The sequence below is a fragment of the Homo sapiens genome, chromosome 5 (assembly GCF_000001405.40).
Source record: "Homo sapiens chromosome 5, GRCh38.p14 Primary Assembly".
NCBI classification, from domain to species: domain Eukaryota; kingdom Metazoa; phylum Chordata; class Mammalia; order Primates; family Hominidae; genus Homo; species Homo sapiens.
Genome location: NC_000005.10, coordinates 113820847 through 113847368, shown reverse-complemented (window position 1 = coordinate 113847368; position 26522 = coordinate 113820847). Strand labels below are relative to the sequence as shown.

The window sequence follows — 26522 nt, the reverse complement described above, 5'->3', positions numbered from 1 at the left end:
CATATGAACTTTGTATATTGGTAGAATTAACTAAAATGGCTCCTCAACCGTGACAAAATCTTGTAAATCAGGTAGAACGAGGCTGTGAAAGTTGATGATAGAAATCGGGTCACTCTTGTCATACCCAACTGAAACACAGTCGAGAAGCCGGGGGAAGAGCACTCAAGGCAGGTAACATTGCTCCAAGAATGTAATCCTCTGCAAGCCTCCTTGCAAAAAAAAAAAAAACTGTTTGCTGTAACCTGAAACCAGTTGTGTCCATCTAATGGCTTCTGAAACTACCTGCAGTTACCTGTAAGACTAGTTTTACCCACTGCTATCACTCATCAATCAGAGCTTGCCACCTCCTCAACACTTCACTAAGGCCAATGAACTTTCTGGAAAAACAGTAGGTAATATTTCTCTTTTTTATAAAACTTCCAAACTCCTCTTTGTTTTTCAGACATACTAAAGACCACCCAGCCTGAGTGTATGCCCCAAATGGCAATTTTTTTCTTCCCAAATAAAATGTTACATTTATAAATTCATCTCTACATTTTATTTTGACTTCCACAAGGATAAAAGCAGTGATCTCCAATATTCATCCTCTAGAGACTATGACTTAAGGAATCAGCTGTCTAAATGCAATTCTAATGTGCAATCTGGCATATTTACAATAAGTAATTTAAAAAATATTATACCATTATACTCTTGATGAGACACATGTCACTAGTCTACAGTTACAAAATTTGAAACCCTATAAGTGGGAAAATTTTAATGGAGGGTGTAGAATTATTTTTGCTGTGTGTTTTCTTTGATATTTTCCCAGTTCACCTCCACAAATATTTCAATAATTAAAGATGGAGATTTTACTACAAGTTTGCTCAAGATAGCAAAGTTTCAAAAATGCTTTAGATAAAACCATCTAATTAATATCTTCACTTACTTAAACAATTACTTACTAAACCCTTAAAAAGAAGTCAGTGATAAAAAGCCAAGTTTGCATGATCTATGAAAAATTGTCTAGGCCCTTGGAAAGGGTAGACTAAAACACTTTCATCAGTATTAATTGTGCATATTTCATGAATATCTTTTTTTGTTGTTGTCATCCAGGCTGGAATGCAGTGGCAATCACTGCTCACTGCAGGCTTGCACTCCTGGGCTCAAGTGATGCTCCCATCTCAGCCTTCCACAGTCCTGGGATTATAGGCATGAGTCACTGTGCCCAGCCAGGAATACCTGAAGAACATAATTATCTCTCTAGGCCTGATATTTTTAAACTTTATTGCATATAGGATTCACCCAGAAAATCTGTTAAATGCCAATTCTCTGGCCTAGAAACTGTATCTATTGGTCCGCCACTCATTATATTTTAGTGATGAAGTGGTCCTGAGAATCAACAAACTCCTTTAGGAGTTTCTGCTGCAGATGGCTTAATGATAAATCTATGAGAAATTGTTCTAGGATCTTCCAAGTATCTTCATAAAGGCCTCAGAATATCCCTGGGGATGGAGGGATGTCCAAGACAAATGTCTGTATTTTCTCAAGGTATTCATACAGGTAAACCTAGGTTAAAACAAACATCAGTGTTAGACTTATAAGTCATAAAAGGACAATATGCAATCAGACATTCAGGAAACATAGAAAAGCAGCTCTACCATTTTACCTCAAGATAGGACTGAAACACATTAGTATATATAAGTCCCTCCAGATTTTTCTTGTAAAATTGCAGGAAAAAAAATAAATCCTTGTCACCTACTGCTCCCATCTCGAGGCTCAGCCCAAATAATGGCTCTGGAGCACCACCATCACATGGGGAACTGAACGCTAGGGTGTGCTCCCCAGATCCTCAAAGGCACAGGGCTGAAGGATGGGAACCTCTGAGGAAGCACTGTAGCTCACAACTCCCAACTATCAACTCTCTCCAGAAATTGCTTCAGCTGGAAAGAGCTCCTCACCTGGGGCTCCTTTCTGGGGCAGCCTGCATACAATGACTGATCAGAAGAGGAACAAATGTTTAAGCCACACTGAAGAGAGGAGGTGACATTATACTACACAAACATTTAGTTCTGATTTGCATCAAATTTAAGAAGCTTGATTTCTGGGGAATGAAGTAGTAGGGACACCCATTCTACTTCCTTCCCCATGCACATATCATGCTGTGCAACATCTGCCCTGAGGCGTTATGGGTAAATATGAGATGATTGTCAATATTACGATCTTGCTTAGAAAGACACATTGCTTAGCACATCAGGAAACCAAACAACCTTAGAGGTGAGTGTTCTGCTCTAGTAACTAACATGAAAGCCCTTATACTAGCTATTGATATTATTATCTTATTACTTTGCATTTATATAGCTACAGGGAGAAAAGGGGCTTTAAAAAGTCTGAGGAAATGGAAATAATCCCACTTTACTGCCAAAGACACCCGGATACCCATTACAAATTCGGTTGTCAGATAAATGAGGTTGCATTGGAGGTGCCCTATTTCAGAATAAGCAGGATGGGAGGAACTTTTCAAATCCCTATTCTGGAAATCTGTCTTATCGCCTTTCAATGACATTGGATTTGTGCATTTATCTGGAAATCAGAGATGATTTCTGTCAACTCCTTGTTGTAGTCACATTTCAATTAAAAACCTGAAGGAGCCCTCTTATCAGGCCCCAGCATTCGTCTGAGTCATCACTGAATATACTTTCCTCAGAAACAGGATTTGTATTTTCTGTTTCATTGACTACAGAAGTTATTCCAGATTAAATGTGGCTTTGCTCACCAACCTACTTCTCAAAATTAATAAGGTCTTCAGTTCCCAGGATACACTGCCTTCCTCCACCAAAGTAAACTCAACAGTTCGTGATTCTATTTAACACAAATTCTAGACAACTTGAGATTCACTTAATAGTGATTTGTTGAAATAAATTAGTTTTTTTTAATTAGAGTATTTAAATGTGGGCCCTTAGAAAAGACTATCAATCCAGTTAATAGAACTAATCATTAATGACAGTACATCTATTTGTTCAACCACTTGGGAAAAATACCTAATCTCTGTAATGTCAATTACCAAACAATAATCAAAACATTTTCTATATTTTCAAAGAAACCTGTTAGTGGCATATTTCTAGGGGTTTTTATACCTCACAATTTCTAAAATCTTCATTAAGCTTGTAAATACTGAACACTAAAGAAGATATCACAACTACCTATGTTTGTATGTACACATATATACATATTCACATGTGAGTAAAGCCCTTTTTGTTTTAAAGATAACCCACCTGGATGGAGTGTATCTAAATCAAGAGTATGGATGCCAAAAATCATATTTCTTTGCAAGATTGTGATTAATCTTAGAATTCATAAAATTTATAAATTATCAAGACATGGAAAAATCTTGGAAATTATATTGTTCAACTTTAATTTAACATACAAGAACACAGAGAACCATCAAGATCTCATCTGAAATATACTCAAATGAATATACTTGAATGAGAGTAGCCACATTAAAGCCTGGGTTCAAATTCTTCATCTACCACTTGGCTTGAGGAAGTTATTTAAAGTCTCTCAGCCTCAGTGTCCTCATTTATAAAATGGGAATAAGTTCACTTGAAAACCGTTTTAAGATGAATTAAACATTGAACATCAAACCTGGCATAGGTGCTCAATTAAGTATGGTTGTAGTTATTATTACCTGTGCCTAGTAACTTAGGAAGTACTATGAAATAGCCACAAAATTAAATATAACACCAGGCTAAGAATAATTTACATATTTTTAAAGGATCCAGAGCTGAGAAAATGTGAAATGGGGTAGTTAGCCTGGACTAGAACAATAATTTAGAGGATAGGGAAGAGAGGTGTCTCTTTCAGCTGATATAAAAAGCTCAAGAGATAAGGTCATAAATTTTCTGAAAACAAGAAACAGAATAATTTCCACGACTCTGTCTGCATACATTCTGCAGCCTGCTGCATTACCCATATAAGCTCATTTTCCCTCCAGTGCAAGGTATCCAGTAAAAATGTTTATAATATTTATCATTAACCACGGTTTTACCAAAATCAAAATGTTAAAGAGGTTGCATAACATATAATATGATATACTTAGACCCTGAACCTAATCGTTTTTTGGACTACTGATCCTAATATCCATCATGTAGTTTATCATTGATCTTAATGGAAATTTTACAGAGCCATTAAAATCATGGAAGAACTAAATGTATTTTAAATTTATTTGCAAAAGTGCTAATAAATGAATCAATACTTTGGAAAAGGTAAGGAAAGAAGAATATAACAATCTAGAATAACTGATTTTTTAACAAGTACTTTTCTCTTTTATCTCTAAATGATGTTTTTAAAATGGAGAATGTTTTTAAATTGTCAATTAAACCTTTAGAATATATTATGCACCCAATATTCTGCACTAAGCCACAAACTATAATGCTCTGTTCCTACAAGTAACTGGGCATTTCCTCTGTCCTGCAACTAAATATTCTAAGCAAGAGGCAATATTATGTGCTCCAAAATTCTGTTTGTTGCCATCACCAGAGTATTTCAGTCTTTCTCATTTCTCCTTCATGCCAAGCCTGGACAGATAGTGCTCCTGCTCTGCCAAACAAAGGTCCTGGGCTAGTTCATCAACCAGCCAATGAGCCAAAAAGTATTTCTTAAAACCCTTACCTCAGGCTGGGAGCAGTGGCTCACGCCTGTAATCCCAGCACTTTAGGAGGCCGAGGCAGGAGGATCATTTGAGGTCAGGAGTTCAAGACCAGCCTGGCCAACATGGTAAAACCCCGTCTCTACTAAAAAAAAATACAAAATATTAGCCGGTTGTGGTGGGAGGCTGAAGCAGGAGAATCGCTTGAACCTGGGAGGCTGAGGTTACAGTGAGCCAAGATTGTGCCACTGCACTCCAGCCTGGGAGACAGAGCAAGACTCTGTCTCAAAAAACAAAAAAACAACCCTTACCTCCTTGTGTTCAGCATTGCAATGACTACTATTGGAGATTACAAAAGATGTAGAGAACATTGTCTACATCCTTGAGAAGACCATATTATGATCAAGACACAAAATGGCAATAATAATGATAATGATAGCTGTCATTTATTGGTGCATATTGTACCAGATGTTTTACCTACACTTCTTCCCTACACACACTTAATTAAATGGTAAGTATTAAAAAATTATATATAAGCACTTAAAAATGGCTCTGCATATTGGTACTGTAGATGTTTAGACAGAAAAATCAACATCAGTTTCTAAAAATAGTGACTGCATAAGAGTGCTGAGATGACAAGGGATTCAATTCTTCATTTGTCAAATAATGTGTCATGTTTTAACATTGTTTTTAAAATTAAAAAAATGCATAAATTTGATTCATTGTATGAGTAAGTACATTTCTTAGTGTGCCTCCTCATTTGAAAACTGAATGATGTCTCTTAGATACCAGGTATGTTGTATGAACAAATTTAAATGATACACTGTATGCAAAGAGACTACCTGAGAACAGCGAATTCTCAATCAAGATAAATTCTCTTTTCCTTTCCTGCAAAGAAAGACTACCGTTCATTACTTTGCCTAGAAGAATGCCAGTACTAAATTTAGATAAGCCAATCTCATTGATTCCTAATGCGAAGCATTAGCATAAATAAAAGAAAAAACTCAAGAATTGACCTGTTTATTATAATAATTCAAAGCCATGAAGCATATCAGAGAGAAATACTATGTAACACAAAGGTCTTTTTTTAGATCATAAATGATAGCTCAGTTTTTAAAATTTCCCTTCATATCAGAAAGTGATTTCTCCTACCAGAACAAAGCTGCTAGATCATCAACACCAATATAAAATATATATGCAATGTAAAACCAATGGAAACCTCTCAATAGATGCAGAAAAAGTATTTGGCAAAATTTTATACCCATTGTGGTAAAAAAATCTCTCAGCAAACTAGGAATAGAAAGGAACTGCCTCTATTTCATAAAGACTGACTTTTAAAAACTACAGTTAATAACATAATTAATGGTGAAAGACTGAACATGCTTTCCCTAAGAGCAGGAAGAAGATGATGTCTGCTTTTACTATTTCTATTTAACATTGTATTAGAGGTTCCAGTCAATGTAATAAGGCAAGAAAAAATAAAGACATATAGAAAATACCAACAAGTCTATAAAAACTTTCCGTCCATCTATTATGGGAGTTTAGCAAAGTCACAAGATGCTAAACCAATACAAAAAATCAATAGTATTTCTATACATGAGCAAAAATTGATTTAAAATGGAAAATTTTTAAATACTGGTTATAATACAAGCAAGATCATTTTTAAAAACTAAACAAGAAATAGTTGAGATTCAATTTAACAAAATATATGAAAACTTTATACCAAAAAGCAAAGATTTTTGTAAGAAATTTTAAAGACCTAAATAAATGGAGAGAGATATTATGTTCATGAATTGAAAGATTCAGCGTAGTGGTCAATTCTCCACAAATGGATCTGTGGATTCAAAGTTTCAATCCAGGTCCCAGGAAGCTGTTTTTGTGAATATTTAAAAGTTGATTCCAAAATGTATGTAAAATGTAAAGGACTTAGAATAGCCAAAACAATTTTGGAAAAATAAAACACACAAACACACACAGTTGAAGGACTTACACTATCTGAATTGTGAAAAAGCTACATTAATCAAGATAGTTTGGCATTGGGAAACATTTGGCACATAGATCAATTGAACAGAGTTCAGAAATAGACCTACATGAATAATTCGTTTTGACTGAGATTAGAGGGTAATTCAGTGGAGAAGGCATGCTGGGACAAGTGTATATGCCAAAAATAAAAATAAAGAGCTTTAATCCTTACCACAACCTCATTGATTTCTTTCCAAAACAAGCCAGTGTTGACTTTAAGAACCAATTCTAATTACCTAAACTTAATTCTCACACAGTTTAATAGAAAGACCTTTTTTACCTTTAAAAAAAATTTAAACTAGACGTTACCTTACTTGACATTTAATGTATTTTTCATGTTTTCCCCTGTTGCTTTAAGATAATGCATATAAAATAAAGTTCAGACAATATTCTTGAATAACCATGCATTTTCACAGATTGTTAGAATACTGAAGGATGTCTTTTTAGGCTTAGTATTTTGTCTACGTAAGGAGAGAGTGATACACAGATGTTGTCTCTTAAACTAACTCACAGAGGTGCCAACGTGGTCATCAAGAAAGAGGAGCTAAATTTTCTCCACCCTTCATTGGTTTTAAGTGGTGATTCTGAGTGGTGGTTTTGCCTTCAGTCAGAAACCAGCTGTGGTTGTTTTTAAAATACATTTCTGAGCTTCACCCAGACTTAATCAGAATCTCGGGAGCTGGCTTCAGGAATTTGCATTTAAAATCAGTTTTTCCAAAAGACTCTTAATATAGTTTGAAAACCACTAGAAGAGTGGGTATAATAAACTGTAATAACATGGAAAAAGTCTGACTTTGCATAATTTTGTAACAAACCTAAAATCTTATTGTTGTAAAAGAGAGACTGGAGAGTGGATACTCTATTGGTATGACTAAAGTAATGAATTCATTCATAGGGAGACTGGCAACATTCAGACAGGGAAAATTCTTATATATCCGGTTCCCAAGTTTGAACTCTATCTTGAAAGTCAGTGGTTCTCAGGCATACCTGTGCATTAGAATCACCTCGAGGGCTTATTAAACACAAATTGCTGGGTCCCACTCCCAGACATTCTGATTTAATAAACCTGGGGTTGAGCTAAATAATTTTCATCTCTAGTTATTTATTTTTTAATTGATTAAATAATAAATTTCATATATTTATGGTGTATAATGTGATGTTTTGATGTATGTATACATTATGCAATGATTAAATCAAACTAATTAACATTCTACACCTCACATACTTACCATTTTTGTAAAGAGAACTTTTAAAATCAAGTCCCTTAGCAATATTCTATTATACTATATATTATTATTAATTATAGTCACCATGTTGTACACTAGATCTCCAGAGCTTAGTCTTTCTAACTGAAACTTTGTGCCCTTGATCAACATCTTCCCATTCCCCACCCCAGCCGCTGGTAACTGCTATTCTACTCTGGGTTTCTATCAGTTTAATTATTTTACATTCTACATACAAGTGAGATCATGCAGTATTTGTTTTTCTGTGTTTGGATTATTTTAGTAAGTCCTCCAGGTTCATCTGTGTTGCCACAAATGACAGGATTTCCTTATTTTATAAGGCTGAATAACATTCCATTATGTACAGATACTACTTTTTCTTTATTTGTTCATTCGTTAATGGACACTTAGTTTGGTTTCGTATCTTGGCTATTGTGAATACTACTCAAAGTGATCTATAGCTTCAATGTAACTGCTATCAAAATTCCAATGACATTTTTTACAGAAATAGAAAAAACAATCCTAAAATTCTTATGGAACCACAAAACATCCCAAATAGCCAAAACAATTTTGAGCAAAAAGAACAAATCTGGATGTATCACACAACCTGACTACAAACTATACTACAAAGCTATAGTAACAAAAACAGCATGATACTGGCACAAAAACAGACACATAGATCAATGGAACAAAATAGAGGGCCCAGAAATGAATCTACACATTTATAGTCAGCTGTTCTTCAACAAGTGTGCCAAGATCACACAATAGGAAAAGGACAGTCTCTTTAATAAATAGCACTGGGAAAACTAAGTATCTGCATGCATAAAAATGAAATTGGGCCTTTATCTCACCTCATATACCATAATCAACTCAAAATGGATGGATTAAAGACTTAAATCTAAACTTCAAACTATAAAACTACTAGAAGAAAATATAGTGGAAAAACTTCTTGATATGGGGCTGGGCAAATATTTCTTGGATATGACCCCAAAAGCACAGGCAACAGAATCAAAAATAGATAAATTAGATTTTATCAAACTACAAAGCTTCTGCACAGCTAGGGAAATAATCAACAGAATGAAGAGACAACCTATGGAATGGGAGAAAATATTTGCAAATCATACATCCCACAGACAGTTAATGTCCAAAATATATAAGAAGCTCAAATAACTCAATAGCAAGAAAACAAATAATTCAATTTAAAAATAGGTAAAGGACTTGAATAGACATTTCTCAAAAGAAGACAAACAAATGGCCAGCAGGTATATGAAAAGATGATCATCATCACTAGTCATCAGGGAAATGCAAATTAAAATCATAATGAGATATTACCTCCCACCTGTAAGTATGGCTTTTATCAGAAAAACAAAAGATAACAAATGTTGGTAAGGATGTAGAGAAAAAAACTCTGGTACACTGTTGGTGGGCATGCAAATTAGTACAGCTACCACGGAAAACAGTACAGAAGTTATTCAAAAATTTGAAAATAGAACTACTATGTGATTCAGCAATCCCACTTCTGGGTATATATCTAAAGAAGTTGAAATAGGTATGTCAAAGAGATAGCTGCACTCCCATGTTCACTGTAGCATTGTTTATGATAACTTGCATTTCTTTTTTTTTTTTTTTTTTTTTGAGACGGAGTCTCGCTCTGTTGCCAGGGCTGGAGTGCAGTGGCGCGATTTCGGCTCCCTGCAAGCTCCGCCTCCCGGGTTCGCGCCATTCTCCTGCCTCAGCCTCCCGAGTAGCTGGGACTACAGGCGCCTGCCACCATGCACGGCTAATTTTTTGTATTTTTAGATGAGACGGGGTTTCACCATGTTAGCCAGGGTGGTCTCAAACTCCTGACCTCGTGATCCACCCGGCTCAGCCTCCCAAAGTGCTGGGATTACAGGCGTGAGCCACCTCGCCTGGCTGATAACTTGCATTTCTAACAAGTTCCCAGGTGAAGCTAGAACTGTTGGTCTGAGCACACACTTTAAAGGGACACTGAGAAGCTTAAGGATGTCAAGTGTGTGATATGATCAAATTTACATTTAAAAGAATGCATCATAATCACTTAGTCCTGGAGACCCCAGAGCTCTGAAACAGAAGCTCCGAGAGGAAAGCTCTAAAGGCTCAATAACAAAAACACTGGGAAATTAGGTGGTTTTCCATTCCCTTAATTCAACGAAGTGGAAGGAGGACCTAACCAGGTTATCAGCTGATATGTTATTAAAAATGATTATTGATAATATATAACTATGTAATTTGGATTCATAATTTAGGAGTTCAAAAATTCAGTGTCATTGCTATAACAAAACTCTTTTCATTCCTACATAGTTATTTATGAAAACATGGATTTTGAGGCTTATATAGAGAAAATAAAAATATAAATAAAAGTGATAGCCCTATTTTATTCTAGTAATGAGCAGTATTTGTCTATGGATTCATAAACTAACTGAACAAAAAGGTCCCATTCATTTTATTAGGAGATAAATTTTCTTAAAAATATTTTACCTTTTATGTTTAAAGTCACTCATCAAAATTGTTAAACATATATTCTATTTTGATTAATTATGTAGAGACAAATATCACAGTAACTCAGTCCAGAAGAGTGTATTTTTAATCATTTAAAAACAATATCATGGCAAGAGCAAACTATAATAACAATTTAATATTATATAAATATTTTTATTGCAGAGACGTGTAGTTGAGTGACCAATAAAAGCATAAAATACATTACATTGGGATAAAGTTTTCTGAAGGAAATGAAATAAAAACACAAGTCTGAGAAAAAAAATGGAGTGATATAAAATTTCTTTACAAGAAAAATTCTTATATATCTTGTAAGAAGAGTATCAAATCTCCAAGGCATTTAGATTTCACTAAAAAGATTTAAGAGAGCAATGTAACATTTACAGTGCACCAGAAATTCTAATTCTTTTCAACTATATAAATAGATCAAAGAAAAGAGTTACCAACTTAAAAATGTTGGTGGGAAAGGAGTTACATAAATGTTTATAATTCTTTTACTGAATATGTGAGAAAAAAAATTTTGAAATTATTGCCCTAGTGAGTATTTTTCCCCTTACTCTATTTTGAGAGAGGTGAATTCCCTTGCTTGTCAATAAAGGCTGTCTTGGATGGTGTTTGCCTAAAGGGTTTAAGTGCAGGGGAAGGGAAACAGACTTCTACTTTAAACTACCAATTCTGCCTTCTCATGCCCAGAAAAGATCATAAAAAGAGACCACCAGGATCCATAATCAGAAAATCGCCTGTAGAGGCCGAGCTACAGGCTGGGAGCATTGAAACCCTCCACTTGAGATAGAGGCTGAAAGCAATGTGGTAATATTTAAATACTGTTTAGACATTGCACTTATTAAGAAATAAATTTCATTCTCAATAAGATTTAAAGAATGGAGCAGTCTGACACAGAGAAAGAGTTCACCAAAATTTGGGCAGTATATATTTAGAAAGCCATTTCTATTGGAAAGTAGATGAGGCCATTTTAAAGTTCTCTACTCAACAACAGATCCTCCGTACACGATCTGAAGAACAAAATCAACCCTTTCTAATGAATGTCATAACAATTTTGGAATTCTAGAGAATTCTGAATCTCTTACAGATATGAAACCCGTGGCTCAAAAAAAGCTGAATGCCTTGCCCAAGGTCACACAGTTTTTTAGTGACAGGTGTAATAAAAGACTCCATTTCCTACCTTCTCAGTCTTTTGCTCTTTCCACTCTATGACCAGAAAGGTTAAGCCACAAATAGTCTCTTAGTTGCCAATTTCCCATGCCACCGAAGACTTTATATGCAAGGGAATGTTGTTAAAATCACCTGAGAGTGATCACCTGTTGTTGGGAACAGCTGAGCAACCAACACAGCTCATAAAGCCAGAGAAGACAGAGGGCAGCTTCCTGAGTGCGTGATATATTCTCTAACATTATTTGAGAAAGAAAATAACTTTAAAATACTACAAAAATTCTTTATAATGAACACTGTACCAATGTTGATATAAAAACTTGGTCTGGTAAAATGTCCCTCTTCCTTTTTCCTGAAATATGGGAAGCATGTGGGTTCCTTTCCTAATCTTGCTGCTGTTCAAAGCAGAGAAAAATTCCCCTGTGATTTTACTGCTGCAGACAGCAAACATCACTCTGCCACAAGCAAGGCGAAAGAAAATGATACAGCAATCACTTGTAATTAAGGCTGTAGACTACAGTTCAGGAAAAATAAATCCAAACCTTCATTAGAAGCCTGAACTGGCATGATGGAAGAAAATATTCCATCAAACTACTGATACATCATTTTTTTTAAAACAATTATGATTCAGCATATTGGTTCATATTAATTTAGGCTGTATATAGAAAACTGAGTAGGTATAGATAATTGGCTTTTCCAAGATCTGGTTTATAATAGAATAGTGAGGAGGGTATAAAAATACAAGTTCTACAAGATGTACATTCAAACACAAATTAGATTTCATCCAGACTAAAGAAGAAAGCTGACTGACAGAATAAGTTCAAGAGGAATTGATTGGCAGACCTGAGTTTTGACAAGAGATTAAAATAAGAGGAGAAACAGGAAAGCAAGAAGACATTATGAGAGGAGGATGACAAATCATTGGCCAGCTTGACAACTTGAGGTTATTCGGGTCTTGGTGAAAAAAAAAAAAATAGCAGAATAGGTTTTAAGGAGGTTTTGAAACTACCTTTAATTGACAGAAGTATTATGATTTCCTGGGAGGAGTGAGAAGGAAAGCCCCAGAGAAGCCACTGCGCAAGCTGCCCCCTCCTCCCCACGGAATCAGAGCACACCAAGAGAAAACCACATGGAAGAGGACAGGCACCAGCTGCCCACCACTGGCTGCTTGAATCCATTTTATATTTCAAGTATCCAGATGTAAAGAAGCAACAAGAGCCTAACTACATAAGCTGACCTTGAACTCCTCTTTGCCCCTAGAAAGGAATCTTGTCATTGAAGCCTAGAGAAGAACTCTGCACCTTGGAAGTTGATGTATTGTCAATAGAGGAGACTATGTCTTGAGTCTGATTACGTCTTGTGTCCAGATAATTCTCCTGTTGTGTGGGAGGCTGCTTTAAAAACTGTGGAGATTATCTTATCAGGAAGCTAGCATGTAGGATCATGGTGTGGATCCAGAGGATTTTGTAATCGTTACAGACCTGCAGCCCTTGGGCAGAGTTTTAACTACACCATGCTCCAGCATTTAGATCTGCATTTATGACATGGGATGCTTTCTCTGTTAACAAAAAGTTGAGTGCATCCCATGAACACCATGTTTCCATGCACTGATTTTAGAAACTATCCTAAAAAGGGCTTTATAATTATTTCCTAAGTACCTGACTCTGGCTGTTAGTTTATCCTATAATCAATGCCTATAACTTTAAGTCATTGAACATTAAAAACCATGGACTTGGCTGGGCACGGTGGCTCACACCTGTAATCCCAGCACTTTGGGAGGCCGAGGCGGGTGGATCACGAGGTCAGGATATGGAGGCCACCCTAGCTAACACAGTGGAACCCTGTCTCTACTAAAAATACAAAATATTAGCCAGGTGTGGTGGCAGGTGCCTGTAGTCCCAGCTACGTGGGAGGCTGAGGCAGGAGAATGGTGTGAACCCAGGAGGTGGAGCTTGCAGTGAGCCAAAATCATGCCAGTGTACTCCAGCCTGGGTGACAGAGTGAGACTCCATCTCAAAACAAAACAAAACCATATGAAAAACCATGGACTTAATTCAGTCACACTAGCATTTTATAAAATGAGGTGTCTGTGTAGTTAAAAATAACATCAACAGCTTCTTAACTTTAAAATTACAAAATAGAATTATTTAAAATCTTCCCTCTCTTTTCACTCTCACAAACTCCATATCTGTGCTCATTTTGAACTCTGTGAGAGTTCAAAGCCATGAGATTGGCCATAGACTTTCCCCAATTCTTCACAATATTTCGCTCAGTATACCTTAATACCCCCTGGTGTTGAGTGGGGCCAGCTTTATATACACATTTCCTTTATATAATATCAAATTCCTTCATTGACACTATGACTAAAGTACCTGGCATCATCTCCTGGTATCTCTAGACTTTCCTCCTTTGGCAGTTCTCTGTGTGCTCACATCTGATAGCAACAGCAGAGCAGCTCTGCCCTGCTCCAGGTCATTCCCTACCTAATTTTCTTCACTGAAAAGACAGAGATGAAAGTAATGTAATGGCTTCGGGCAGCATGAGCTCTGACTTTAAAACTGACTAGATAAGCAGCAAGTTTAACCTACCTACCATACCATGTCCTCCTTCACCCTCTCAATGCACTGCCTTCTAGGTGTAGTCTGTGAACTTCTCAATGAATGTCCCTTCTGCTTATAGTCAGTGCTTGGAAATGCAAATTTGAATCCTCTGCAAGGAGCCAAATGTCTTTGTGATATCATCACCATAATCAAGAAACAAAGTACATTTCTAACGGGGTAGGATGACTATGTGTTTATGACTAACACGTACTCTTTGGAAGATTTTATTTCCATTAACAGTTGAAACAAAACCAAACCAAACAACTAGTATAGTTATTACCGATTCACTTTGAGAAGTGAAGAATTTACCTTTGAAATCTCAGTGAATACATATTTTAGATCCCATTTGAACTCTCATCACGTATTTCATGAGGAAATGAGAAGCAACACTTTTAAAGTAAAGCCAACAAGTAGCATATTAGACCACAGGACCCTTAATATTTATAACCTAAAACTCAGGGAGTAAAGGATGGCAAAAACCCTCCAGACAAAATATTCCATTTCTTCCATTAAAATTGCTTCCATATTTAGCTTTCTAAGGGTAAAAACTAACATTTGCTTAGCACACTTATAAAGTTTAGTGCTTATTTATTAAGGTTTTTCCATTGCCTGAAAAAATGGTTTTTTTTAAAAAAAGGTTATAAAATGAAAAAGGGAATTGAAATGAGTACTAGAATTCCAAAACCCTTAAATATCTGTTATTTCACTTAAGCCAGACAACAGCACTGTGAAGCAGGTAATGCTGTGTCCGTATGGGTGAATGAGGAAACACAGCCCAGCTGGGTTAAGTGACATCAGCACAGCACACTAAGAGAATTGTGCAGACAAGACCCCAGCCCTCCAAAGCTGGGTGCCTCATATTCCCACAGCCCAATGTAGACTCACTCTTATAAGGGCTCAAGCTTAAATTTAAAACTACTTTTCATGTATGAGTATCAAATAAAATTAAATCATCTGAATTATGTTTACTGCTTTTTCTTTCTTTTTTGTTTGGCTTGGTTTGGTTCTAGTGGTTGCCCAAGAGTTTGCATTATACACTTTTTTTTTTGCAACTAACCTAAGTTCACTTTCAAATATTACTGCATGGGTGGTACCTTATAACAGAGTATTCACAATTCCATCCTCCAATCCCTTGTAACATGGCTGTCATTCTTTCCCTTACCCATCAGCTATACCTACCCAATACATTATTGCTATAATTATTTTGGACAGTTATCTACTAGCTCAGATATGATTAAGAAAAATAAAGATTTTATTTTACCTTCATTTATTCCCTCTCTAAAACTCTTCATTTCTTTATAGAGATCCACATTTCTGACTTATATCATTTTCTTTTTTTCAAAAAAATTTATTTAGATATTTCTTGCAAGGCATGTATACTACTGACACATTTCCTCAGTTTTTGTCCAAGAAAGCCTCGATTTCTCCTTCACATGTGAAGAATAATTTCACTAGATACAAAATTCTAGGTTGATAGCTTTTTCTTTCAACACTTTAAATATTTCATTCCCTGATTTTCATTGCATAGTTTCTGAGGAGAAATCTGATGTAATTCATATCTTTGCTCCTCTAAAGATAAGGTTCCTCTGCATATACGCTAGGGCTCATTCAAAATTTTCTCTTTGTCTTTGGTTTTCTGCAACCTAAATATAAAATGTCCAGATATAGATTTCATTTTTTAAGGATTTGTCCTTCTTCTTGTTCCTTGAGCTTCCTGACTGTATGGTTTGGTTTCTGTCATTAATTTTAGAAAATCCGCAGCTACTACTACTTCAAATATTTTTTCTGTTCCTTTCTCATTTTCTTTTCCTCTGGTGTTCCTATGATGCCTATGCTAAACCTTTTGTAATTGTCCCATAGTTCTTGGATAGCCTGCATATTTTTTCATTCTTTTTTCTGTTTGTTTTTCAGTTTGGGAAGTTTCTACTGAATTATTTTCAATCTCATTTATTCTTTCCTCAGAATGTCCAGTCTGCTCATGAGCCCATCAAAAGCATTCTTCATTTTTGTCACAGTGTTTTTTATTTTGGCATTTCCTTTTGATTCTTAGTTTATTGTTCATCTGTTCTTGCATGTTGTTTATTTTTTCCATTAAATTCTTTAGCATATTAATTACAGTTATTTTAAATTTATGATCTGATGATTCCAAAAGTTCTGCCATAGCTGAGTCTAGTTCCAGTACTTGCTTTTTCTCTTCAGGTTGTGATTTTTCTGGCCTTTTAGTATAATTTGTAGTTTTTCTGTTGAAAGTTGTACATAAGGTATCTGGTAATAGGAGCTAAGGTGGGTAGATCTTCAGTGTGAGGTGTTATGTTTATCAGGCTAGGAGTTAGGCTGTTTCATGTTTGCTATAGCTGTAGGTGTCAGAGGCTAAAATTTTCTCTAGTGTCCTTGTTTTTGATGTTACTGTTGTCTTTGGCTTTCTCTAAAAACTTCTTCTTAACTAGAGTCTGAGCTTTGCAGTACATTCAGCTGTAATCTCATTATTATCCAGGAGCCCTGTTGATGTGATAGTAAAGTATGTAGGGAGGAAAAGCGTTCTATTCTCCTGTGGTTAGGTCTCAGGCTTTGGTGAGCCTGTGTTCTGGTGCTTTTACTTTGGGTAATTTTTCTTCCCCCACATCAAATAAGACTCTGCTGAACGTATTCTCCTTCTGGATAGGCCTTTGTTAATAGAGAATGCTCTGGGTTTATCCCCAAATAATTATTTTTCCTCACCCCCTGCCCAAACACAGGGGTTTTTTTCTCTGATTTTCGCCATGAGAACCTGGTAGGACTGCTTAAGGTACAAACCCACACAAGCTGCAGTTTTAAATTCTCAGGCTATTCTACACACAGCCTCTAGCAGTTCCTTGAAGCTGCTGTTTAAGTGTTCCTACCAGCTACTGGCTCCAGCGACTTATGCTTTAGCAAAACCAATCGCAATCTTCACTTGCCTGTCTCTCCAATTTATCCAGTAGCAGTTTATCCTGAGACCTCAATTTTCTCATGATGTTTTGATTTTCAGTGTGTAGCTTTTTTCTTGCTGTGAAGGTAGAACTGATGACTTGCAAACTATTTATGTGTTGAAGAATAAACCATAAGTCCTCAATTATACCTACATATAATGTAAATCATATTTTGTTTAGTTATTTTGGACCACATCCTGTAATTCTTCTAGGTAATACTATAGAGAACAACAGTTCAATTTTAATGCTGGAGTGCTTAGTGAACTACAACTTGCTGTCACAAAATACTTTCCAGAATAGGTCTAAATCAATATCATATAAAATTGTCCTTTAAAAGAATGAAACAATAATACAAATTATTGTCTATATACAAACAGATTACGTCAAGGAATGTATAAGGCAGTCATACAAATTATAGTAAGGAAATATGGCTTTTAAAATAGCTGGTTGACATCTGACCTTTGACAAGGTTGACATAAAGAAGCAATGGGGAAAGGACTCCCCATGGTGCTGGGATAACTGATAACCACATGCAGAAGATTGAAACTAGACCCTTTCCTTACACTATATACAAAATTCAACTCCAGATGGATTGAAGACTTAAATGTAAACCTAAACTATAAAAACCCTGGAAGATAACCTAGAAAATACCATTCTAGACATAGGACCTGACAAAGATTTCATGATAAAGACACCAAAAGCAAATACAACAAAACAAAAAATTGACAAATGGAACCTAATTAAACTAAAGAGCTTCTGCACAGCAAAAGAAACTATTAACAGAGTGAACAAACAACCTACAGAATGGAAGAAAATATTTGCAAACTATGTATTCATCAAAGGTCTAATACTAAGAATCTATAAGGAACTTAAACAAATTAACAAGCAAAAAACAACCACATTAAAAAGTGAGCAAAGGACCTGAACAGACACTATTCAAAAGAAGATGTACAAGTGGCCAAAAAACCGTGAAAGAATACTCAACATCACTAATCAGAGAAATGCAAATAAAAATCACAATGAGATGCCATCTCATACCAGTCAGAATGGCTAGTATTAAAAAGTCAAAAAAAAAAAAACAGATGCTGGTAAGGTTGCAGAGAAAAAGGTAACACTTATACACTGCTGGTGAGAATGTAAATTACTTCAGCCATCCTGGAAAGCAGTTTGGCAATTTCTCAAGAAACTTGAGAAACAGAACTGCCATTCAACCCAACAATCCCATTATTGGGCATATACCCAAAGGAATATAAATTACTCTACCATAAGGACACATGCACACAAATGTTCACTGCAGCACTATTCACAATAGCAAAGACATGGAATCAATCTAAATGCCCATCAGTGGTAGACTAGATAAAGAAAATATGGTACATATACACCAGGGAATACTACACAGCCATAAAAAAGAATGAGATAATGTCCTTTGAAACTCCAACATGTATGGAGTTAGAGGCCATTGTCCTAAGCAAGCAAACACAGAAATAGAAAACCAAATACCACATATTCTTACCTATAAGTGGGAGCTAAACATTGGGCACACATGGACACAAAGAAGGGAACAATAGACACTGTGGCCTACTCGAAGATGGAGGGAAGGAAGATAGTGAGGATTTAAAAACTACCTATCAGGTGGTATGCTTATCACTTGGATGATGAAATAATCTGTACACTAAACCCTCATGACACTCAATTTACCTATATAACAAATCTGCACATTTATCCCGAGCCTAAAATAAAAGTTTAAAAAATACAAATAAAAATCTTATTTTAACTAAATCTTATTTAAAAAAATAGGTTGAGCAAAGAAAGTAGGAATCAAAACACAACCTATAAAATGACCAGTCCTTAAAAAAATACCTTAATAAATGCCTATCATGTACCTTCAATATACTAAATAGATAACATGTTTTTTTCTGACTTCTAAAAGCTTTGTGAGGTATGACAATTATCACTTTTTTATAGATGGCAGAATTGAGGCCCAGACAGGTTAAGTAACCTGCCTAAGTTCTCAGTAGGAGACAGATAGCTGGATGTATAGAAAAAAAGATAGATAGATAGATGATACATAGATAGATAGATAGAGTTTATCTTTGTAACATGTCAGGAAAGTTGGAGTCAGGTTAGTGTCAGGGTTCTCCTGACAAATCAAAATGCCATTTGAAGCAATCTAGAGGGAGAGTGATACTCTTCTGAGGGCAGCTCATGAGGGTGCCAAGCTAGAGAAGAAAGACACAAATATGTGGGAGGAGTCTAGAAAAACAAGGCCATAGCCAAGAAATTCTAGAAAGTGGGTTGCGCTGATAGAGCAACACTTGGAGAATGGGCTATCAAGCTGGTAAACAAGGCAGTGGAGAGACGGAACTGGTGCTTGAGGTACAAAACAAACCAGACATACCCATGGAGGAGATTTGTGTTAAGCCTCACATACACACAGAAAAAAACAAAAGCATGGTAGGGCCACAGGTAAGGGCTCACCAAGAATGCCACACTATATTGGACAGGGTACTTGGCCCTTCTTCACTACCTCCTTGCTTACAGACTCCATGTTTTCTTCACTGACAGTGAGGTGAAATGGATACAGGGGACAATCTATAGCACAACACAGCTCTCTCTCCCCTGCTCACCATTGCACACTTTCTTGGCCTCTGTCCTTGTTGTAGGCCAAGTCTTATTCTACCCCACTTCAGGGCTGTTATCTGTGCTATGCCTTCTGGAGTAATCCTCTCCTCTACCCACCCATGTACTTTGTAATGATATATGTTACTTGTGTGCTTGTTCAATTTATGGTTTCCCAATTATCTACAGGCTCTCGGAGAGCAAAGACTATATTTGTTTTATGTGCCATTAAATGACCCAGAATGTTTAATATATGGTAAGAACATATAAGTACTTAATGAATGAATGACTAGCTTTGCTACTGTACTGAGAATTCCTGCTCCCTTTACCCAATCACTGGAAGCCGCCATGAGATTACCATTAGATCTGAGGAAAGAAAAGGATGAGAGCTGGGGCAGGTGGTAACAGTATGGTAGAAGCAAAGCCAAGTCATAGCTGCGTGGCAGACTGGAGCATCTGTCAAGGTAACAGGGCACTGAATAACTATGAATGCATTCATAAAACAAGCCACAGTTGGGAAGCCAAAGGAGTTGAGAGGAATAGCATAGACAGAGAGAGATCTACGCAGAGTAAGGCAAGGCTCTGGCACTGAAGGCTATGCAGTGCCAGTGGGGATGTTTCTTAAAGGCCAACAGCAGAATGGACAAGCCAACAGGAGGTCAAGTTACCATTTGATTTCATTGACTTCAGAAAGAGGTGTTGCCATACTGGGAAACCAAGTTTCCCATAAGACAACAACTAGAAACGGAAAAACTTGAACTTGAGTAGACTAAAGGATATCTCATATTTTATATCTACAAATCTAATTATCCTGTTAAGAAAGAAAATATTAAGTTTTTGAGTAAAGTAAGTACCTCAGAAATAGCAATCATCTAGTGTCATTATTTAAACTTTGTTATCAAGGTTAAAACAAAGCAAAAATTTTAATTTCTCACCTGGATTTTTTATCAGCTAAATCTCTGCACACATTAAAATAATTAAGTAAGTTAAAATTTAGTGATAAAACTGAAGTTTGATAAGATTGGGCTGATACAATAAGATCTATGTCTACCATAGTGTCTTTAACTTGGTTAAGTCAATAAGACACTAAATCCTTTAATTCCTCCTCCTGAAATACAGAGAGACTATTTCTCTCCATCTTATATATATATATATATTCATGAGTTATGAAATAAGGTGACATATATAACTTCCACTAAGGGCCTTTAAAAAATGGTTATCCACATAGAAGGTATTGTGCATATTTATACGAATGAGTGACTTTTTCCCCTAAATTGAAGAATTAAAGTCCAAGGTCACCCAGCTACTAAGTAAGTGCCACGTCAAGTTTTCACCATTTCACCATTCCAGAATATCCCCAAATATCATTTAATATCATCAATTCAATGGCATTTATTTCTCAATGTATTCATAGAACAATTTTTGTTGTTTTGAAATTAAGAAGATAAAGTCAGTTTTACCAACATTATTTTGGAACATTAAATTACCACATTTCAAGTTATTCTCACCTTCTCTCATTTGATAGAACTGAAGTCTAAGAAAATAAAATTTTGATCCTATTCACCCTGAGAAATTACATAAGGAATTATATAACGAAATATTAGCTCTATATCATAAGATGAAAAGGATTGTTCCCTGCCTCATTCGCTCGACGGTATCTTTGCTCTCACCTCACGGTTACCACAGATAACATTCAATATCTTTCTAAACAATCTTCACATTTATTATTTACTGTGATTTACTGTTCTCCCTCTACTCCACCTTCCTATCCTACTTCCTGTTGTCAGAGCATCCCAAGCTCCTATCCTGCCTCCGTGCCTTAGTGCTTGCTCTTTCTTCAGCCTACATGAGAGCATTCTTCCTTCAGGGTTTTCAGCATGACTGATTCCTTATTTTCAGGCATCAGCTCAAATGACACCTCTTCAAAGAGATGTCCCAGACCACTTCTTGCCCTCACACAGTTTTTATCACATGACCCTATTTTCCTTCCAAGCACGTATTACAATTATCATTCATCTTTTTAGTATGCTTTTTACTACTTTCTCGTTTATCCCTCTCCACTAGAATATTAGCTCCATGGGCACAGGAGTTCTATCTATAGTGTTGACTGCTGTTCAGAACCACACCTAGTGCCTGGCACATGGCAGTAATTGACCATATTTGTTGCATTAGTTGACAAATAAATCCATATAAGCAAGACATTCTCCACAAGCAGGGATTAGTCAAAATATATCTTCCAAAAATGTCAAGTGTAATCACATGGCCTGAGCTACTTAGATGAGTCAGTATGCAGAAACAGAGGTATCACTCCCCAGGCTCTGAAATGGAGCAAGACCTAGAGATAAGCTGATATACTGACACCACTGAATAAGCCACACAAATAACCCAGTTAGCCAAATGATGGCAGTCAGTTTGTACTCTTCAAGTTGATCCAAGAAACTAACACAGAATGGTCCTTTCTATGATGGCATAGATTGAATTTGGATGTTTTTTGTTAAAGTGAACATTTTATAGTCAATTTCACCACGTTTAATTTACAAAGAAATAAAATTGAAATTATTCTAAAGAATCCTGCAAATACCATGTCCTATGGGAAAGTGAGATTATAGTAATGTATTAAGAAAGGAAGGTAATTGGAAAAGTCATCAAATGGTTATTAAATAAACATATATGTATACTTATGTTTGTTGATGTACAAAACTGAAGAATTTTGAAGTTGCAACACTTCAACACAACAGTAGTCTAGATACTGAAGAACAAGATGCACCAGTTACATAAAAACCTTAAGCTGTCATCTGACAAACGTCACTGTGATTATAAGCTGTACCCAGTCATTAGGGAAAAGCACTAGGCAAAGTCCAAGTTTGTGGACTTGCCGTATTCACACATAAAGAAAGATGTAAAAAAGAATTGATTTGTAAAGAATAATGCTTAAACTATTTTTTAAATAACAGTAATAATGTAAATTCCCAAGCACATGAGGGACTGAGGTTTATGTGCCTCTGCTGATCTCTCACTGGCATCGTGGATGTGGGTTACAGGATGGCCAGTGCTTTATCTTCAAAGGCAAGGCCCTGCTATCCAGATGCTTCCTGGGAAGGATTTGCGGTCCTAAAGGACCTTAGTGCCTCATTCAGGTATTTCCCACCTAGAGGTTGGCCTGTGGAATTACTGATGCTGTTCATTTTTTTAGCTGTATGAGCATTTTGTTTCTGAATCTAGATCCACCTCTTCCTCTCACTCTGTATGTTGTACTCATTTTCAGCTATAATGTTGCATTTGTTTCATAGTATAATAAAATATCACCCAAGAAATCTAACAGTACAGTTGTTAGCAGCTATCAGCAAACAAATGTATTAAAAGCTTGGGTTGATTGTGTGTGTTCCACAACCAGCTGAACAACTTCCAAAGAGAGGAATGTTAATATCAGAAACCCACAACCCTCTTTCCCCCTTTTCCGTTAATATTTACTAAAGTAATTCTTGTTTTAGAGTTTTCTACTTACTTCCATGTAAGATAAATTATTGAACTCAAACTGTGATAAACTTTACTTAAAATACATGTCATGTGTGTATGAATAACGCCAAGTTTACTTCTTACAACTCAGACCTCAGTGCTCCCTGGCTGGTGCTGCTACATCTGAGGGGATGCAATGAGGCTGGTTCTGAGAATGTGAAAATAAAAGCTGGAGACTTGAACCAACCGCACTGCTAAGATGAAGGGGCATTGCTAGGACCATGCTGTTAGCAACAGGAAACAAACTGAACAGCCCTCCTCCAGCCTTCTAGTCTTTTCTCTAGCACCTCCTATCAGCAGACCTAACAGAAAACTAGCAGGCAAAAGAGAAACATGTTTTTGCAGAATCACAGCCCCAGCATTAGGAAGCAGAGTATAGACAAGTGGATTTGGAGCCGAGTGACAATAGCACACCCACCCCCCTCCCACTTGGTCTCAGGGATCAGCTATGTGTTCACTTTGCTGCAGCTCGGTGGCTACTCAAGGCTACTCAGTTGAAGAATTCAACTTGTTTACCTCTGGAAACAAATATGGACTTTTAGTTATTTATGTTGAAACAGATCACGCAAGTCACCCACTAAATCTCCACTAGCAGAAGCAATGAGCCAGATGCCAAAGATGAATAAACACAACCTTGATCATATGAAGAAATATTTAACTGACAAAAATATAAATATAAATTGGGCCATAGCTTTCAGAGACTTCAAAGTATAACAAAATCTATCCCAATAAGTTATTTTCTTCCAGTATAAATGGTCTGTCTTTTTATTCTGCAGTGAATCCAGATTTCTCAGTAATTCAAGGACTGATGAACTGGTTGGCAGATCTCAAGCTTCTCTCCCTTCTCCCCACAAATACTTTCTTTTCAGCATTTCCACTAGAAAGGAAACAGTGAAAGCTCATTCAATTGCTTTTTCCATTGCTCTCTAGAGGTTCAGTGGGAAAGACCACAGACTCACTCACTAAAAACTCCAACATTTACCAGCAAAATCCTATGCAGTCTTGAGTGAGACAAGGGAGTGGGCAAACCCCTCTCCCATCCATCCCTAGAATGGGATACAGATTTCCTCAAAGATAAGTTTACAGCCATCAAGCACCCTGCTACTGAATGTGTCATTAATTGCTGAGATCTAAGGATATGAACAACATCCTGGAGAAATGAAGAATGTTCCTATAGAGACCCATTTCAACACCATAGAAAAAGGGAAATAGGGGAAGGGGTACTGAAAGAGGAAAAAGAAATGCTAAAAGAATCCAAATAGTTATGTATAGCCTTAAAAAATACAGAAAGCTTACTAATTCTTTTTTAAAAGCTCACAAAAGAGATTATTCAGGTGTTCAAATGAGAAATTATGAGTTATGATGAGTGGATGAAAATTTAGCCTGTAGAATTTGAAAAAAAAAGACAAAAGTAAAAATATTACAAAGAAAAGCTACACATAAACCATATCTAACATAATCATAACTTCTGTTTATTATTCAAGTGAGAGACTAGAATAGATAAGAAAAAATGTATTAAAAATAGGTATAATTTTAATATGTAAAATAATACATTGAAGTTAGAGAAATAACATAAGCAAAAAGAAAGCAAAGAAGTAGGAGGAAATTAAGCCAAAATCTAAACTTAATGAAAGAGAAAATACAAATAGAAATGATAAATAAATAAAACATGCTCCTAAAAAGGAAGGTAAAATAGATCAACCCTGGGAATCCTGATTAACAAAAAGGGAAAAACAAAAGGTAGCAATATTAGGTATGAAAAGGGTGACATAAAGTATAGAAGAGATTAAAAGACTTCTAAGAGAATATCATCTGCAATTCTATATCAATATTTTTTGGAAAGCTGGAAGAAATAGATGAATTTCTAGCACAATATAAGGGGCCAATATTGGTTCAAGAAAAGGTGGAAAATCTGAAAGGACCAATAAACATACTAGGTATTTTAAAAGCAATTTTTAAAATCTACAATATTAAAAAGACACTTGTCCTACATAGGTTTCTGGATGGGCTTTGTAGGTATGTTAAAACTTTACAAAACAGATCATTTCTATAATAATTAAGCTTTTAGTATAATAATTTCAGACCACAGTAAAGAAGGGACAGTTATTTTTTTTCATGTATTTATAGTTTCTTTTTTTTAAATTTTATTATTATTATACTTTAAGTTTTAGGGTACATGTGCACAATGTGCAGGTTTGTTACATATGTATACATGTGCCATGTTGGTGTGCTGCACCCATTAACTCATCATTTAGCATTAGGTATATCTCCTAATGCTATCCTTTCCCCCTCCCCCCACCCCACAACAGTCCCCGGTGTGTGATGTTCCCCTTCCTATGTCCATGTGTTCTCATTGTTCAACTCCCACCTATGAGTGAGAACACATGGTGTTTGGTTTTTTGTCCTTGCGATAGTTTGCTGAGAATGATGGTTTCCAGTTTCATCCATGTCCCTACAAAGGACATGAACTCATCATTTTTTATGGCTGCATAGTATTCCATGGTGTATATGTGCCACATTTTCTTAATCCAGTCTATCGTTGTTAGACATTTAGGTTGGTTCCAAGTCTTTGCTATTGTGAATAGTGCCACAATAAACATACGTGTGTATGTGTCTTTATAGCAGCATGATTTATAATCCTTTGGGTATATACCCAGTAATGGGATGGCTGGGTCAAATGGTATTTCTAGTTCTAGATCCCTGAGGAATCGCCACACCAACTTCCACAATGGTTGAACTAGTTTACAGTCCCACCAACAGTGTAAAAGTGTTCCTATTTCTCCACATCCTCTCCAGCACCTATTGTTTCCTGACTTTTTAATGATTGCCATTCTAACTGGTGTGAGATGGTATCTCATTGTGGTTTTGATTTGCATTTGTCTGATGGCCAGTGAAGATGAGCATTTTTTCATGTGTTTTTTGGCTGCATAAATGTCTTCTTTTAAGAAGTGTCTGTTCATATCCTTTGCCCACTTTTTGATGGGGTTGTTTGTTTTTTTCTTGTAAATTTGTTTGAGTTCATTGTGGATTCTGGATATTAACCCTTTGTCAGATGAGTAGGTTGCAAAAATTTTCTCCCATTCTGTAGGTTGCCTGTTCACTCTGATGGTAGTTTCTTTTGCTGTGCAGAAGCTCTTTAGTTTAATGAGATCCCATTTGTCAATTTTGGCTTTTGTTGCCATTGCTTTTGGTGTTTTAGACATGAAGTCCTTGCCCATGCCTATGCCCTGAATGGTATTGCCTAGGTTTTCTTCTAGGGTTTTTATGGTTTTAGGTCTAATAT

The 26522-nt window shown here is 36.1% G+C and overlaps 1 long non-coding RNA gene across 1 annotated transcript in view, besides 1 other annotated feature; it reads right to left on the bottom strand.

Annotated features, from left to right (window-relative positions):
- Positions 1 to 26522, bottom strand: part of LOC124901047 (uncharacterized) — a 192316-nt gene that overhangs the window by 151030 nt on the left and 14764 nt on the right. The window lies entirely within an intron of this gene.
- Positions 58 to 559: an enhancer, noted in NCBI's record as "NANOG hESC enhancer chr5:113182507-113183008 (GRCh37/hg19 assembly coordinates)". NCBI's record gives its function as "activates a minimal SCP1, AML or CMV promoter by ChIP-STARR-seq in naive and primed H9 embryonic stem cells {active_cell/tissue: H9 hESC(naive and primed)}" and the evidence as "EXISTENCE:reporter gene assay evidence [ECO:0000049][PMID:30033119]".